This window comes from Homo sapiens, chromosome 2 (assembly GCF_000001405.40).
Source record: "Homo sapiens chromosome 2, GRCh38.p14 Primary Assembly".
Classification (NCBI taxonomy): Eukaryota; Metazoa; Chordata; class Mammalia; order Primates; family Hominidae; genus Homo; species Homo sapiens.
This window is the reverse complement of record NC_000002.12, coordinates 73,724,916-73,741,579: the sequence shown is the minus strand read 5'-3', so window position 1 is coordinate 73,741,579 and position 16,664 is coordinate 73,724,916. Positions and strand designations below refer to the sequence as shown.

Sequence of the window (16,664 nt, the reverse complement as noted above, 5' to 3'; positions counted from 1 at the left end):
CAACGTGGCCCGTCACAGAAAGGGAGACTCAAGTCTAAAGGACCACAGTCTTAGACATGGAGAAAGGCCAAGGAAGTCACATGCATCCTGGTTGATGAATATATTTGATAAAGGGACATTGCAAACCCAAATGTCTTGGGCTGTATGGCACGGGTAGGAATGGGGCCCAAGGTCTCTGGATCCCCACCAGAGGCCAATGGCTCTATACTCCTATTAAGATAAAATGGGGCCAGGTGCAGTGGCTCATACCTATAATTCCAGTACTTTGTGGGGCCAAGGCAGGAGGATCCCTTGAGCCCAAGACTTAGAGACCAGCCAAAGCAACAAAGTGAGACCTCGTCTCTACAGAAAATTTAAAAATAATTAGGTGTGGTGGTGTGCTTCTGTAATCCCAGCTATGTGGGAGGCTGAGGCTGGAGGATTGTCTGAACCTGGGAGGTTGAGGCTGCACTCCAACATGGACAATGGAGAGAGATCCTGTCTCAAAAAAAAAATAAATAAATAAAATGGGGAAAGATGGAAATTCTGATTTCTTTCGAGTTCTTGGATACTGAAGGCCACATGACAGAATTTCCAGGTTCCTTTAGGGGAAAAATTAAGCTGGTGACACCAGGAAGTTTGGGGATGAACTCGGTGACACATAGTGTTTATCTGCTTGTGGTGCTTATCTGCTTGTGGGTGGAGGCCTTTGGGCCATTTCAGGTGTCAGTGACCATGGTTCCCACCACTGAGTGCTTTATAGGCATTGACATTTTGGTGGCTTGTGGCACAGAATGTCACTGCCACCAGAGGGGCTATGACCCCTAACAGCTAAGGATTTGAGCCATAACAGTGGGGCACATCCCCTCCCACCTACCACCATATCTTGCCACATTTTTACTGACTCATGGGCCATTGCCAACAGCCTAGCCATCTGGTCAGGGGAATGGCAGCAGTGATTGGACTATTAAAAGATTCCATGTGTGGGGACAAGGGCTATGGCAACAGCTTGCTGTTGGAAGGGACTCTATATGCCACTCATGTGGATGCTCTGACTACCACAGCTGCCCTTGAGAGGACTTATGTTTTTGGATACCCCATGGGACTTCACTCTGACCAAGGAAAATCCTCACTGCCCAAGCAACATGACAGTGGGCACACTCATGCAATACAGTGGGTTTTCCATGCACTCTGTCATCCACAGGCCAATGGAGCCATTGAATGATGGACCAGTCAACTCACAAAGCAACTGAATAAAGGACATCAGGACAGCCTGTTAGTGGGGTGGCACCTCAACCTGACTAGGGCAGTGTGGACACTAAGCACTGTTCTCCAATCAAGGGAAACACAGCACTGCACACATCTTGAAAAACGCTGAGCTTGATGTGGATAGAGGTGGACCAGGTGACTGCCTGATGAGGCTGCACCTGTGAAATTCCAATCTCAGTGTTCCCAACCATTGTCTTTTCTTTTTCCATTTAGAGTGCACATCCTGTAGGTGGCCGGTGGTTCAAGCTGCCAGAGCACCCGACAGGCCCCTCTGACTCTGATCTAGAGGTGATACGTCCCCCGGGTGCCTCTCTTCTATGAAATCCACAGGGATACAGGACAGGACCAAGGAGTATCAGGGTGCTAGGCTTAGTGGCACCAGGAACACCTGATCCTTCCATTCAGGTAGGTAACCTTATCAGACATGTCGAGTTTGTACAAGACAAACCTTCCCGGACTGGACGACTGAAGCCAAAAGGCCTGGGTCATGCAACAAGCGGAATGGGTACTCTCGGGACTGCAGCAGTCAGACTGGGACACTACACTCAGCTCAACCTCTATCACATAGGTAGGGAATACCCGAGGATGCAGGAAGTGTAAGGGGCAGGGCACTAACCTGTCAGTCTGCTTTTTCCACAAGGACGTGACTGCAGAGGCCTAGAAGCATAACGCGTTTGTTAGGCTCTCCCAAGCTGTGGCTACCATAGGAAAGTGCTGGATCTGTCATCCCAGACCCCATTATGTCACAGGCTACAGCAACCTTCTCGTCCTGCCAGTAGTAAACTCTACCAGTATTATAGTGGCACAGTGAATATCAACAGAACCTGAGCCCTGGCTTACTGAGTGAGGATCTAACATCTGCCACATGGGAGGGAGGTAGACTTAATTGGCCTAAGGTGGCAAAACATCATGACAACTAATAAGATCTTGGTGGGCTGGCACCTTTGACCTATTATGTTCTTACCTGGATCACTGGATCCTGGACTAGGTTGATGCTCCAGACAGACCTGATCAACCTGTTTGTGATGTAGTCCTCCTGGGCCTAGTAAAATGTATTCTGGCTATGGCTCAACAATGTTGTACTGACATTGTGTCTGTGAAGGTGTTACATCGATCTGATAAGACAAACTTCCGCCTCCAGATACTAGGAGGTTGGTGGGCATATGAAACGGACTAGCTTTGCTAAAGGGTATAATCTGGGTTAAGGGCATAGACTGCAGGACAGTTCTCCAGGTGGCCTTGGACCAATTTAGTTCTCTCTCCTTTCTCACTTGTGGTTCTCTAGGATAACTGTAGAATGTGCTGGGAATGTAGCATCCTGTGATAGAGAGAGACTAACCAGACCAGCCAGGGCCCTGTTCCAGTGTCTCCCAGAAATAGAATGTCCTTCATATATATATGTATATATATATATATATATTTTTTTTAATTTTAATTTTTATTTATTTATTTTTTTTTGAGAGGGAGTTTCACTCTTGTTGCCCAGGCTGGAGTGCAATGGCGCGATCTCAGCTCATGGCAACCTCTGCCTCCCCAGATCACGTGATTCTCCTGCCTCAGTCTCTTGAGTAGCTGGCATTACAGGCATGAGCCACCATGCCTGGCTAATTTTTTATTTTTTAGTAGAGACGGGGTTTCTCCACGTTGGTCAAGCTGGTCTCGAACTCCCGACTTCAGGTGATCTGCCTGCCTCGGCCTCCCAAAGTGTTGGGATTACAGGCGTGAGCCACCGCACCTGGCCGAATGTTCTTCATGTTTTAGCCCAGTGTGTCATGCCTCCCCACCTCTTCCCCCTGCCCCTGCCCCCTGCAATTAGGCTGTTGCATTGCCACAAAGAAATACCTGAGACTGGGTAATTTATATAGAAACGAGGTTAAATTGGCTCATGTTTCTGCAGGCTGTACAGGAAGCATAGTACCACCATCTGTTTGGCCTCTGAGGAGGCCCCAGGGAGCTTTTACTATTGGCAGAAGGAGAAGAGAGAGCAGGCACATCACATGGTGAGAACTGGACCAAGAGACTGTGTTGGAGGGTGCCACACACTTCTAAATAACCACATCTTCCTGGCACTCACTCACTATTGCAAAGACACCAAGCCATGAGAGATCCACTTCCATGACCCAAACACCTCCCATCAGGTCCCACCTCCAAAAATGGGGACAATTCAACATGAGATTTGGCAGGGACATATATTCAATCCATCCCTGGACCCCCAAATCTCATGTCCTTCTGACATTGCAAAACATAATCATGCCTTCCCAATCACCTACCAAAATTTTAACTTGTTCCAGCATTAAACTCAAAAGTCCAAAGTGTCACAGGAGACATGGCCCAGAAAAAGAACTAATCCCAGCTCCTTGGGAGGCCAAGGCGGGTGGATCACGAGGTCAGGTGATCCAGACCATCCTAGCTAACACGGTGAAACCCCGTCTCTACTAAAAATACAAAAAATTAGCGGGGCGTGGTGGCGGGTGCCTGTAGTCCCAGCTGCTCGGGAGGCTGAGGCAGGAGAATGGCTTGAACCGGGACGCGGAGGTTGCAGTGAGCCGAGATTGCACCACAGCACTCCAGCCTGAGTAACAGAGCAAGACTCTGTCTCAAAAACCAAAGAAATCTCCAGCAGCGGAAATGTATGTAGAACTCATTTTGGTCAGTACTTTTCCTTGTACAGGAAGAAACTGAGGTCGCCCGGTGCAACGCCCAACACAGGTTAAGACAAAGCCGAGACTCAAAACCAGACCCCAGCTTCCGGTCCCAGCCCATAGATTCTTCCATTTCCTTCGCCGGAAGTGATATACAGCCCCTGTTCTCCTTCGCGTCCGTTGACGGGACCCAGGTTGGGGAGGCGGAAGAATGGGCGGGACCATGGGCGGAAGCACCCCTCCTACCAGGACCCGGAAACAGATGGCCACCCCGAGCCGGCCTATCCGGAAACTGGCTCGAAGAAGACGGGGATTGGCCATCGCTTCCGGAAGTTGTGAGCTTTGTTTCGGAGCGGGAGCTCTTCCGAGACGCACTGGGGGCCGGATGGTGAGTTTTCCTTGCGCTCTAACGGGCAGGCTCGGGAGCGGGAGGGTCCGGGCAGTTTTAGTAGTGTCTTTGGGACAACGGCTGCGGTTGGTATTTCTCAAGCGGCAACGAGGCCAGCCCCTGGGAATGCAGCACGAGAATGATAGAGTCAGGCTGTCCCCTCAAGAAATAGTTTAGTGAGGAGACATGCAGCGGATAGGCGCAGGATTCTTCAGAGTTGTGATTGGGCCCAAAAAGGAGCTAGTCCTCAGACTAAAAAGAGCCGTAGTGCCGGGGTTCTGGGCGCTGTAGTAAATGGACTCCAAATGGAGTTGAAGGGAGGGAGGAGTGCGTCAGGCGGAGATGAAAGGAGAGAGGGAACTACCTGTCCGATAGGGCAGAATCGGGGAGAAAGGTTGGTGACTTGAGCTTAGAGAAGGCCATTGCGGCGGTAGCAGAAGAGGAGAGGCAGGGACCAGATCGTAGAGTGTGGAACACCGTGACACAAAGTTGGGGCTTTATCATAAGAGCAGCAGAATGACAAGATCTGATGTACATTTTGAAAGGATCACTGTAACTGCTGGTGACGACTGGATTATAGGAGGGCAGGAATTGTGAGAAACCACTCAGAAGGCTACTGCTGTAGATGAGCGATGTGACCTAGCGTATGGGAGAGAAGTGGACGAATCAAAAGTATATTTAGCAGGTGAAAATTCAGGACTTTACGGATTAGATATAGGATTTGAGTGACAGGTTGGGTCTCAACGATGATTCCAAGTTTCTGACCTGAGTGAGTAAATTACGCTAAACAAGAACAAACTATTTTGAAGTTTTCTAAGGGTTCTTCCCCCCACTCAGTGTTAAAAAGCACGTTTTTTTCCTTTCTTATTATGTGTACTCATGTTTTGTGTGCTTACTGTAGAAAATTCAGAACATACATAACAAAATATTTTCTTTTATATAAAGGACAATAAAAATCACCTCATAACCTCACTACCCAAGATGGTCATATTTTAGTGTTTCTTTCATGTATTTTAAAAAAATATGTGTATCTTTTTATATAATTGGGATCCTACTGATTATGTCTTTCTGTATCCATTTTTTCCACCTTAGCATGACTAATGATTGAACTGTGTGCCAGGATATCGTTCACAAATATATTTTTTTCTGTTTGTAACAGAAAAAGTCAAATTAATTCTAAATAAGAGATAACATTAACTTTTTGGTGTATTTTCTTTTTAATATTTGTTTAAAAGCCTTTTAAAAAACCCACATTTTGGCCAGTTTGTGTTTTGTTTTCCATTCAGATGTTTTTACTTACTTAATGTTATTTATTGCCGTTTTTACACACCGTCAAGACCACATGTTTTAATGGTTGTTAAATAACAACTAATCCCATCATTAGCTAGATAGGTTATTTGCAACTTTTTACTGTTAAAATAATGAGAGGAACATCTTATATAATTATTGGATTCCTAATGACTTCCATCAGAAAGAGTTCTAGAAATATAATCTGCCAGGTAAAAGGATAAAATGAGTCTCAAATTGCCCCACCAAAATATTTTATTAAGAATTTGATAGAAATTGTTTTAAAGAAATTTTTGCAATACATAGTTTTTCCATTCAAAGATATGGTCATGTCTTTCTGGTTATTCAAGTTGTCTTTTATGTTTCTTTTATGTCTTTATATATAATAACCTATCCTTTTCTTGTTAAGCTTATGTCCAAGAAAGGAGCGACATTGATTATTTAATAATTGTACCCTCTCTGCTTAATTTCCATGCGTGGAATGAATATCTTTGGGTCAAGTGGGATACTTTATCCTTTTTTTTTATTTTTATACTTTAAGTTCTAGGGTACATGTGCACAACGTGCAGGTTTGTTACATCTGTATACATGTGCCATGTTTGTATGCTGCACCCATTAACTCATCGTTTACATTAGGTATATCTCCTAATGCTATCCCTTCCCCCTATTCTTTTTTTTTTTTGAGACGGAGTTTCACTCTTGTTGCCCAGGCTGGGGTGCAATGGTATGATCTCGGCTCACTGCAACCTCTGCCTCCCAGGTTCAAGCGATTCTTCTGCCTCAGCCTCCTGAGTAGCTGGGATTACAGGCATGCGCCACCATGCCTGGCTAATTTTTTTGGCATTTTTAGTAGAGACGGGGTTTCTCCATGTTGGTCAGGCTGGTCTCGAACTCCCAACCTCAGGTGATCTGCTCGCCTCGGCCTCCCAGAGTGCTGAGATTACAGGCATGAGCCACTGCACCCAGCCTACTTTATTCTTTAAAATTATTTTCTTCCTTAATATTTATGTCTAGGCCTTCCTAAAATATAAATAAAATGATGAGATCAGGAAGTTAAAAAGACTAAGATAGAGTAAGACTTCATTAATACCGTAAGCAACCTCTGGTTTAAAAAATTCCTGACATTCTGCTCCTACTTGTCTGCTGGGGAAGCAGCCCTTCAACCATGCACCTGAGCCTGCCTCATCTGAACAAACAGCAACCAGCTGGGCCCCTTGGCGTTTCCCTGGGGATGACAACAGAACAACTCAGAAGGGTTAGGAAGACAACATCTCATGAGGATGCCAAATGGGCTTTGGCGATGGATTTTTCTAGTTTAACACTTTTATCAAGTTACTTTCAAAGTTTTTGAATATTTATTAAGAAATGAGTTCTGATGTTAACTTTTAAATGAAATCTTTTGGTCTTTTCATTTTGTGTGCAGTAGAATCCTGCTTATCTGTGAAATGCAGTTAACACATCAGCTGGACCTATTTCCCGAATGCAGGGTAACCCTTCTGTTATTTAAAGATGTAAAAAATGCGGGAGACTTGAGAAGAAAGGCCATGGAAGGCACCATCGATGGATCACTGATAAATCCTACAGTGGTAAATATAAATTTTAAGAATGAATGAGCCTGCTGGGTGCGGTGGCTCACGCCTGTAATGCCAGCACTTTAGGAGGCCGAGGCGGGTGGATCATCTGAGGTCAGGAGTTGAAGACCAGCCTGGCCAACATGGTGAAACCCTGTCTCAACTAAAAATACAAAAATTAGCTGGGCGTGGTGGCGGGCGCCTATAATCCCAGCTACTCGGGAGGCTGAGGCAGGAAAATCATTTGAACCCTGGAGGCAGAGGTTGCAGTGAGCCAAGATTGCGCCATTGCACTCCAGCCTGGGCGACGAGCAAAACTCTGTCTGGAAAAAAAAAATGGCCAGGCATGGTAGCTCACGCCTGTAATCCCAGCCCTTTGGGAGGCCGAGGCAGGCAGATCATGAGGTCAGGAGTTTGAGACCAGCCTGGCCAATATGGTGAAACCCTGTCTCTACTAAAAATACAAAAATTAGCTGAGCATGGTGGTGGGCACCTGTACTCAGGAGACTGAGGCAGGAGAATCGCTTGAGCCTGGGAGGCAGAGGTTGCAGTGAGCCGAGATTGTGCCACTGCACTCCAGCCTGGGCAACAGACCAAGAATCCGCCTCAAAAAAAAAAAAAAAAAAAAAGAATGAATGAGCCATACAGGGCATTTAAGTATACATTAATATTTGTGATGTTATAGGGTAGCCTAAAAATCTGTCACGGTTAGGGAAAAAATTCTTGTCCAAGTCAGATGCAGCCAACTTTGACTATAACAGTGAATAGAGGCAGAAGTGCCAGGTCCTGCCCTAGGAAATAGGAAAGGTTGTGGTCTGGGTCTAATATGGGAAATGCCTGGATCTCCAGCTTCTCATCTTTAAAATGGGGGTTCCTAACAAGACAGTCTGTAGAGGAGGAATAGTGTAGTGGTTAAGAGTACACACAGAGGCCAAGGTGGGTGGATTGCTTGAGGCCCGGAGTTTGAGACCAGCCTGGCCTACATAGTGAAACCGTGTCTCTACTAAAAATACAAAAAGTAGCTGGGTGTGGTGGTGTGTGCTGGTAGTCCCAGCTACTCGGGAGGCTGAGGCACAAGAATCATTTGAACCTGGGAGGCGGAGGTTACAGTGAATTGAGATTGAGCCACTGCATTCCAGCCTGGGCAATGGAGCGAGAGACTCTGTCTGTCTCCAAAAAAAAAAAAAAACAAAAAAACAGGGCACACGCAGTGCGATCATGTTACCGGGAATTAATCCCAGACCTACTACTTAGGCCTTTGAACAAGACATAACCAACCTTTATATAGTGCTTACTGCATTCCTAGCATTGTTCCAAGTGCTTTACGTATACTAACTTGCTTAATCTTCACAACAGCCTATGGAGTGAATACTGTTTCATCGGTCTCTAACAAATAAAATGCTAATGAACTTGCATAAGTTTCCTAGGTGATAGGTGACAGAGATGGGATTCAAACCCAGACATTCTTTGCCTCAATTTCCTCATCAATTACATACTACTACTACTGCTACTACTACTAATAATAGTGTCAATTTCATAGGGTAGTTTTGAGGATTAAAGAAAATATTACAAGTAAAATGTTTGCAATATGATCATGCCCATAATATTAGCCCTCAATTAATGTTATTTAAAAAAATTTTACTATTTGCATAAGTTCCTTGCAGCTTTAAAATTCTGTGATTTCCTGACTACCCAGGCCCTTGGGATAATAGTTGTTTTTTGTTTTTTTTTTTTTTGAGACAGTTTCACTCTTGTTGCCCAGGCTGGAGTGCAATGGCGCGATCTTGGCTCACGGCAACCTCTGCCTCCCGGGTTCAAGCAATTGTCCTGCCTCAGCCTCCTGAGTTGCTGGGATTACAGGTGCGTGCCACCACGCCTGACTAATTTTTGTATTTTTAGTAGAGAGGGTTTCGCCGTGTTGGCCAGGCTGGTCTTGAACCCTGACGTCAGGTGATCTACCCACCTTGGCCTCCCAAAGTGCTAGGATTACAGGTGTGAGCCACCGTGCCCAGCCGGGATAATAGTTTTGAAAATACAGACCGTAAGAATTGTGATGAAGTAAAACAGCTTGACACTGGAGTTAACCATGAGTTACCATGTGTTTTCAGGCACTGCAGATTCTCCATGTGTAATTAATTCTTTTTCCTTGCTTTGGTAGATTGTTGATCCATTTCAGATACTTGTGGCAGCAAACAAAGCAGTTCACCTCTACAAACTGGGAAAAATGAAGACAAGAACTCTATCTACTGAAATTATTTTCAACCTTTCCCCAAATAACAATGTAATGTGCACTTTCCTATTTCTGTTGACCGTGTCATAATAACATATGTGTTCCTCAGTGTTGGGTTGGAGGCTAAATTCCTGCAAGCCAGTGGTTAGTAATAAACCCAAATAATAGTGAAGAGAGCTCTGGACAGAGAGTTGAGGTTTAACCCTGCCTCTTACTAAGACAGTTTACATATGAGTAAACAAAAATTTAGCTAAATTAAGCGAGGTTAATTTTATCTGTTCTTACCATATAGGGTCAGGAAGACCCCTCAAGTATTTTTGCTTGAGAAGCTGACAGAAATCTAAATGATAAAACATTAGGCGTGGATATTTTGTGTGCTAGCCTGCATATCATTCTCTCTTCCCGTAAACTCCTTGAGGGTGGGATCCATGTCTTTTTCATATACCAGGAACTTGCTTGTACCTATAACAGTCCTTAACACAGCCTCACTCACACACCCAGTACATAGGTAGAGTTTGTGGTTTGAAATACTTATAGTAATGCTTTTTCAATGAAAGTTATCAAGCTAAAGACATCACACATGTAGCACATGAAAAAAATGACTGCAATTTTGCTGATGAAGTTTTAGTATTACTGCTGCTGTTAATAACAACCAGGTACTAATGTCATCTACAGGAAACCTGTAGCATAGGTTAAAATACAGATGATTGACAAGTTTATAAAATGCAGTTATCTCAGCATGGTAATAGAGATTCCCAGTACCTGGAATAAAATTTACTAATTATGGTTTCCTTGAGATCATTAGACATAATTCAGAAAACTCTTGAATTCAGTAAACATCTGTTGAACTTTTTCCCCGTTCCATTTACAGTTCTAGGGGCAGAAGAGGCAAATATGTTCCTGAGGAGAGGCAGATAAACAAGACAAGTTAAAATGCCCTAAGATAAATGATATAATGGGAAAATGAATTCAAATCTAGGGGTACAGCAATGAAGCCATTCATTTTGGAGGGAGGAGGGTGTGGTGGGGAGTGGCATCAGAACTGTGGACCCTGAAGCATGTGTTCAGCAGCCAAGCCATGAGGAGAAGGGACATGCGAGCAGAGGACAAAGCTTGAGCACAGGCAGAAGGGCATGAAATGTGACTGGATCCCCAGGCAGGCTGGACTGGCCAGAAGGCAGAAGCGCCTGGCTGGAGGGCCACTTGGCACCAGAGGGAGGAGGTGTTTTTGTGCAGCGCCAAGAGGCTGGGCTTGATTCCATAGGAACAAGGCGTACCTTTAAGCAGGGAGTGCTTTTGAGGAAGTGCCAATGGATGTTGGAAAGGAATCATTAAAGTGAAAAAGTAGGCAGTGAGAACTGTTAGGACATGAAAAATAAGAGCCTGACCAAGGAAGAAGGCAGATCAGGAAATGTTTCAGACGTAGGAAACAATGGTTAATGATCTTGTGTTTTTTTTTTCATTTTTTTTCTCTTAGATTTCAGAGGCTTTGAAAAAATTTGGTATCTCAGCAAATGACACTTCAATTCTAATTGTTTACATTGAAGAGGGAGAAAAACAAATAAATCAAGAATACCTAATATCTCAAGTAGAAGGTCATCAGGTTTCTCTGAAAAATCTTCCTGAAATAATGAATATTACAGAAGTCAAAAAGGTTTGCCAGTCCATATTTTTAGAAAGAGTGTGATAGATGAGCAATAATGCTGATGCCGTTTGCCTATTGATCACCAGAGCTCCTTGTTTTTTGAACTTTTGAGAAAGTTAATCTAATTTTAAAAATTACTTAAAAATTACAGATACAAAGAACTGGGAGGTGTGATGGTTTATGTAAAATATAATTACAAACTCAGCTGACATAACCATTCTCCACATTAAGAAAGAGAATACCTTTAAATATCAAACTTACATAGTATATTTAAAATGTAAAATAAATTTAGTATGCTTTTAAAATGGATAGAAATTTGGTTTTTATGTTCTTGAGAGTTACTCCCATAGCAGCAATTTAAAGGGGATACAAGTAATGAATTGCCCTCTACTTTGAATATTTTAATCACATTTGTTGTTTGTTATACCATGAACCCAATAATTGAATGAGGAATAATTTCACTTACACATGTTTGTATAATGACAATTAGTAGTGAATGACGATATCAGCAAGTCATAATTTGTCTTTCATTTTTACAGATATATAAACTCTCTTCACAAGAAGAAAGTATTGGGACATTATTGGATGCTATCATTTGTAGAATGTCAACAAAAGATGTTTTATGAAATGTCAGAAATATTAACAAAAATTCTCAGCATTAAAGAAAACATTGATTTTCCTTTCCTGACTATAAAACTAATTGTGCATTATAGAAAAGTTTAAATCACAGAATGGTATTAAAAAAAAAAAAAAAAGGCCAGGCACGGTGGCTCACGCCTGAAATCCCAGCAATTTGGGAGGCCAAGGCAGGTGGATCACCTGAGGTCAGGAGTTCAAGACCAGCCTGGCTAACATGGTGAAACCCCATCTCTACTAAAATACAAAAATTAGCTGGGCATGATGGCAGGTGCCTGTAATCCCAGCTATTCGGGAGGCTGAGACAGGAGAATCGCATGAACCTGGGAGGCACAGGTTGCAGTGAGCTGAGATCGTGCCATAGCACTCCAGCCTGGGCAGCTGAGCGAGACTCCGTCTCAAAAAAAAAAACCAAAAAAAAAAAAAACAAAAAAACCACTTGTAGTCCTACCTCGTTGTATTTTAAAAGATAATCAGTTACTATTACTTGTTATTGCCTTCTAGAGTTCTGTTTCTATTCAAATATATTTTATTTTTATATAATTAGAATAAAAATTGCAAACACTTATGGAATGCCTACAGTGTACTAGGTTCTTGCCTTAGTGATTTTTTTTTTTTTTTTTGTAGAGATGTGGTCTCACTATGTTGCCCAGATTGGTCTCAAAATCCTGGACTCAAGTGATGCTTCTGCTGCGCCTCCCAAAGCGCTGGAATTACAGGCATGAGCCACTGAGCCCAGCTGGTTATTGTTTCTGTTTTTAAATTTTTTGCCTTGGTGATTTTATATCCTCAGTTCACCTCCCTCTCCATACTTACCATGGCTACTCCAGCTCACCCTTCGCAAGCCTCTGGATCCTGGTTCTAAGTGTCTTTCACTTCTAGGAACTCATTTAGTTCTTGCAGCAACCTTATGAGGTAGATACTGTTATTACCCCCATTTTACACACAAGGCCCAGGGGCAGCTACTGTGCAGAGGCCTGGCGGCTCCAGCTGAGGGTGGTCACTCAGAGGGACACCTCGGCAGAGCTCCCACCCTTCTTCCTGGCAGAGGCCCAAGTGGAAGTGGGGGTGTTCCTCGTGAGAAGAAGAAAGGTTGTGCCAGGGGGACTCTGAGGGTGCACATGGAGCCTGGGCAAGGGGAGGCAACCAGGGCCACAGCAGAACTGGTGCCCCTGCTCCCAAGAACCCCCAACAACTGTACCCTTGCAGTGCCACTGTGAACCTGCCATTGCCCCTTGGCTTCCAGAGGGCAAAGAGCCATGGGGGAAGGGGAGTCAGAACACAACCCCAAGAGGTCAGACCCCAGCTGCTGAGGCAGGTCCGTGGCCCCAGCCTGGGTCCTGCCTCAGCACTCTTCTGAGCACTCTCACCTCATCCCTGACCCTGTCAGGTTCTTGGGAGGGCTCCGTCTTCCTCCTCCACATTCACATGCACCTTGTCCAACACCTGGCCCCCTGGCAGGATCCTCATTTCCCAGTCTCCCTTCTTCGGAGGTGCACTGGGCAAGTGGAGCCAGGCCCCTTGGGGTCCCCTGGAGTGGAAGGAGGTACAAAATGGGATGGGTAAAGTATAACTGCCACAGGCATTCACCCAGGAATGTCAGCAATGAAAGAGAACGAATTCCTCTCTCCAGGCAGTATGGAGTCCCAGGAAGACTCTAAGTTCTGCTACTGATGGATGAACTGGGTGCCTGTAGAGTGTGGAAGGCCTAGGCATGGGTTCTAAACTCCTTCTCAGCTGCCTGACCCCCAAAGTCCGGCCTCTGGCGGTGGGGAAATAGAATTACAAACAAAATCTATCCCAGCAAGCCTCTCTGCAGAGGTAGAAGAGGAAGAAAACACTTTCATCATTGAAGAGGCATTAACTCAGAGTGAGATGTGCATCACAGACAATGATCCGCTAAGATGCTGCAAAGACAGAAATCTCACGCTTATCTAGCCAGTGGGTCCAACCCATTGTTCACTGCACGCATTCTCAAGAAGAGTAATGCCTAGTCCTCAGATCAGTGGACTTCCCAGCACCTTTGGCCACACCCATTTATTGGAGATTCAACCTCAATTTACCTGACCACCTGCGTTTGCTAATTACCTTGTTACAAAGGAAAATAAACTCTTACCTTCGTGACAGGAGGTAGATTTACTACTCACAGCAGATGTTAGGCCCCCACCATCCCACAGAGACTGGCAGATAGGGCCCTGGCTGCTCTGATGATGACGTTTCAAAGACGGGCTCCCAGGTCCTTCAGGAACACAGTCCTGGGTTGCAAAGCTGGCAAGAGGCTTATTTAGTTGTCAAAAAGCATTGCATGCCCCTCAAAGGGGCAGAGGAAGATTTACAATGACAAGTTTTCCAAAGAAAACGCTCAGAGAGGACACCACTTCCCTTGTTTTGTTTTGTTTTGTTTTTTATTATTATACTTTAAGTTTCAGGGTACATGTGCACAATGTGCAGGTTAGTTACATGTGTATACATGTGCCATGCTGGGGTGCTGCACCCATTAACTCGTCATTTAGCATTAGGTATATCTCCTAATGCTATTAGTCCCCCCTCCCCCCACCCCACAGCAGTCCCCAGAGTGTGAGGTTCCCCTTCCTGTGTCCACGTGTTCTCATTGTTCAGTTCCCACCTATGAGTGAGAATATGCGGTGTTTGGTTTTTTGTTCTTGCGATAGTTTACTGAGAATGATCATTTCCAATTTCATCCATGTCCCTACAAAGGACATGAACTCATCATTTTTTATGGCTGCATAGTATTCCATGGTGTATATGCGCCACATTTTCTTAATCCAGTCTATCATTGTTGGACATTTGGGTTGGTTCCAAGTCTTTGCTATTGTGAATAGAGCCGCGATAAACATACGTGTGCATGTGTCTTTATAGCAGCATGATTTATAATCCTTTGGGTATATACCCAGTAATGGGATGGCTGGGTCAAATGGTATTTCTAGTTCTAGATCCCTGAGGAATCGCCACACTGACTTCCACAATGGTTGAACTAGTTTCCAGTCCCACCAACAGTGTAAAAGTGTTCCTATTTCTCCACATCCTCTCCAGCACTTGTTGTTTCCTGACTTTTTAATGATTGCCATTCTAACTGGTATGAGATGGTATCTCATTGTGGTTTTGATTAGCATTTCTCTGATGGCCAGTGATGGTGAGCATTTTTTCATGTTTTTTGGCTGCATAAATGTCTTCTTTTGAGAAATGTCTGTTCATGTCCTTTGCCCACTTTTTGATGGGGTTGTTTTTTTCTTGTAAATTTGTTTGAGTTCATTGTAGATTCTGGATATTAGCCCTTTGTCAGATGAGTAGGTTGCGAAAATTTTCTCCCATTTTGTAGGTTGCCTGTTCACTCTGATGGTAGTTTCTCTTGCTGTGCAGAAGCTCTTTAGTTTAATGAGATCCCATTTGTCAATTTTGGCTTTTGTTGCCATTGCTTTTGGTGTTTTAGACATGAAGTCCTTCCCATGCCTATGTCCTGAATGGTAATGCCTAGGTTTTCTTCTAGGGTTTTTATGGTTTTAGGTCTAACGTTTAAGTCTTTAATCCATCTTGAATTAATTTTTGTATAAGGTGTAAGGAAGGGATCCAGTTTCAGCTTTCTACATATGGGTAGCCAGTTTTCCCAGCACCATTTATTAAATAGGGAATCCTTTCCCCATTGCTTGTTTTTCTCAGGTTTGTCAAAGATCAGATAGTTGTAGATATGTGGCATTATTTCTGAGGGCTCTGTTCTGTTCCATTGATCTATATCTCTGTTTTGGTACCAGTACCATGCTGTTTTGGTTACTGTAGCCTGGTAGTATAGTTTGAAGTCAGGTAGCGTGATGCCTCCAGCTTTGTTCTTTTGGCTTAGGATTGACTTGGCGATGCGGGCTCTTTTTTGGTTCCATATGAACTTTAAAGTAGCTTTTCCAATTCTGTGAAGAAAGTCATTGGTAGCTTGATGGGGATGGCATTGAATCTATAAATTACCTTGGGCAGTATGGCCATTTTCACAATATTGATTCTTCCTACCCATGAGCATGGAATGTTCTTCCATTTGTTTGTATCCTCTTTTATTTCCTTGAGCAGTGGTTTGTAGTTCTCCTTGAAGAGGTCCTTCACATCCCTTGTAAGTTGGATTCCTAAGTATTTTATTCTCTTTGAAGCAATTGTGAATGGGAGTTCACTCATGATTTGGCCGTCTGTTATTGGTGTATAAGAATGCTTGTGATTTTTGCACGTTGATTTTGTATCCTGAGACTTTGCTGAAGTTGCTTATCAGCTTAAGGAGATTTTGGGCTGAGACAATGGGGTTTTCTAAATACACAATCATGTCATCTGCAAACAGGGACAATTTGACTTCCTCTTTTCCTAATTGAATACCCTTTATTTCCTTCTCCTGCCTAATTGCCCTGGCCAGAACTTCCAGCACTATGTTGAATAGGAGTGGTGAGAGAGGGCATCCCTGTCTTGTGCCAGTTTTCAAAGGGAGTGCTTCCAGTTTTTGCCCATTCAGTATGATATTGGCTGTGGGTTTGTCATAGATAGCTCTTATTATTTTGAGATACATCCCATCAATACCTAATTTATTGAGAGTTTTTAGCATGAAGTGTTGTTGAATTTTGTCAAAGGCCTTTTCTGCATCTATTGAGATAATCATGTGGTTTTTGTCTTTGGTTCTGTTTATATGCTGGATTACATTTATTGATTTGCGTATATTGAACCAGCCTTGCATCCCAGGGATGAAGCCCACTTGATCATGGTGGATAAGCTTTTTGATGTGCTGCTGGATTCGGTTTGCCAGTACTTTATTGAGGATTTTTGCATCAATGTTCATCAAGGATATTGGTCTAAAATTCTCTTTTTTTGTTGTGTCTCTGCCCGGCTTTGGTATCAGGATGATGCTGGCCTCATAAAATGAGTTAGGGAGGATTCCCTCTTTTTCTATTGATTGGAATAGTTTCAGAAGGAATGGTACCAGTTCCTCCTTGTACCTCTGGTAGAATTCGGCTGTGAATCTATCTGGTCCTGG

At 43.8% G+C, this 16,664-nt stretch overlaps 1 protein-coding gene across 8 annotated transcripts, besides 2 other annotated features; it reads left to right on the top strand.

The window, feature by feature from the left end:
- Positions 3,794-3,853: an enhancer, noted in NCBI's record as "active region_16031". NCBI's record gives its function as "activates an Ori minimal core promoter by ATAC-STARR-seq in GM12878 lymphoblastoid cells {active_cell/tissue: GM12878}" and the evidence as "EXISTENCE:reporter gene assay evidence [ECO:0000049][PMID:35858748]".
- Positions 3,894-3,973: an enhancer, noted in NCBI's record as "active region_16030". NCBI's record gives its function as "activates an Ori minimal core promoter by ATAC-STARR-seq in GM12878 lymphoblastoid cells {active_cell/tissue: GM12878}" and the evidence as "EXISTENCE:reporter gene assay evidence [ECO:0000049][PMID:35858748]".
- On the top strand, positions 4,235-11,707 carry TPRKB (TP53RK binding protein). 8 transcript variants are annotated; one of them, NM_001330387.2, is made up of 6 exons: positions 4,235-4,278; positions 6,992-7,151; positions 8,880-8,996; positions 9,295-9,417; positions 10,844-11,020; positions 11,551-11,707. In NM_001330387.2, the coding sequence occupies exons 2-6, from the start codon at positions 7,011-7,013 to the stop codon at positions 11,635-11,637; spliced, it is 645 nt and encodes a 214-aa protein (NP_001317316.1). In that variant the 5' UTR covers positions 4,235-4,278; positions 6,992-7,010; the 3' UTR covers positions 11,638-11,707. The 8 variants fall into 8 exon arrangements, with proteins under 8 accessions (NP_001317316.1, NP_001317315.1, NP_001317319.1 ...); NM_001330386.2 differs by having other exon boundaries at positions 6,989-7,151; NM_001330390.2 differs by having other exon boundaries at positions 6,989-7,151; positions 8,876-8,996.
- Positions 11,708-16,664: the final 4,957 nt, after the last annotated feature.

Coding starts and splice junctions, on each gene's coding strand:
- TPRKB (NM_001330387.2), top strand. CDS start 7,011: ATGCAGTTAACACATCAGCTGGACCTATTTCCCGAATGCAGGGTAACC. Junction 7,152..8,879: donor CACTGATAAATCCTACAGTG/GTAAATATAAAT, acceptor TTTTTGAGACAG/TTTCACTCTTGTTGCCCAGG. Junction 8,997..9,294: donor CTGAGTTGCTGGGATTACAG/GTGCGTGCCACC, acceptor TTGCTTTGGTAG/ATTGTTGATCCATTTCAGAT.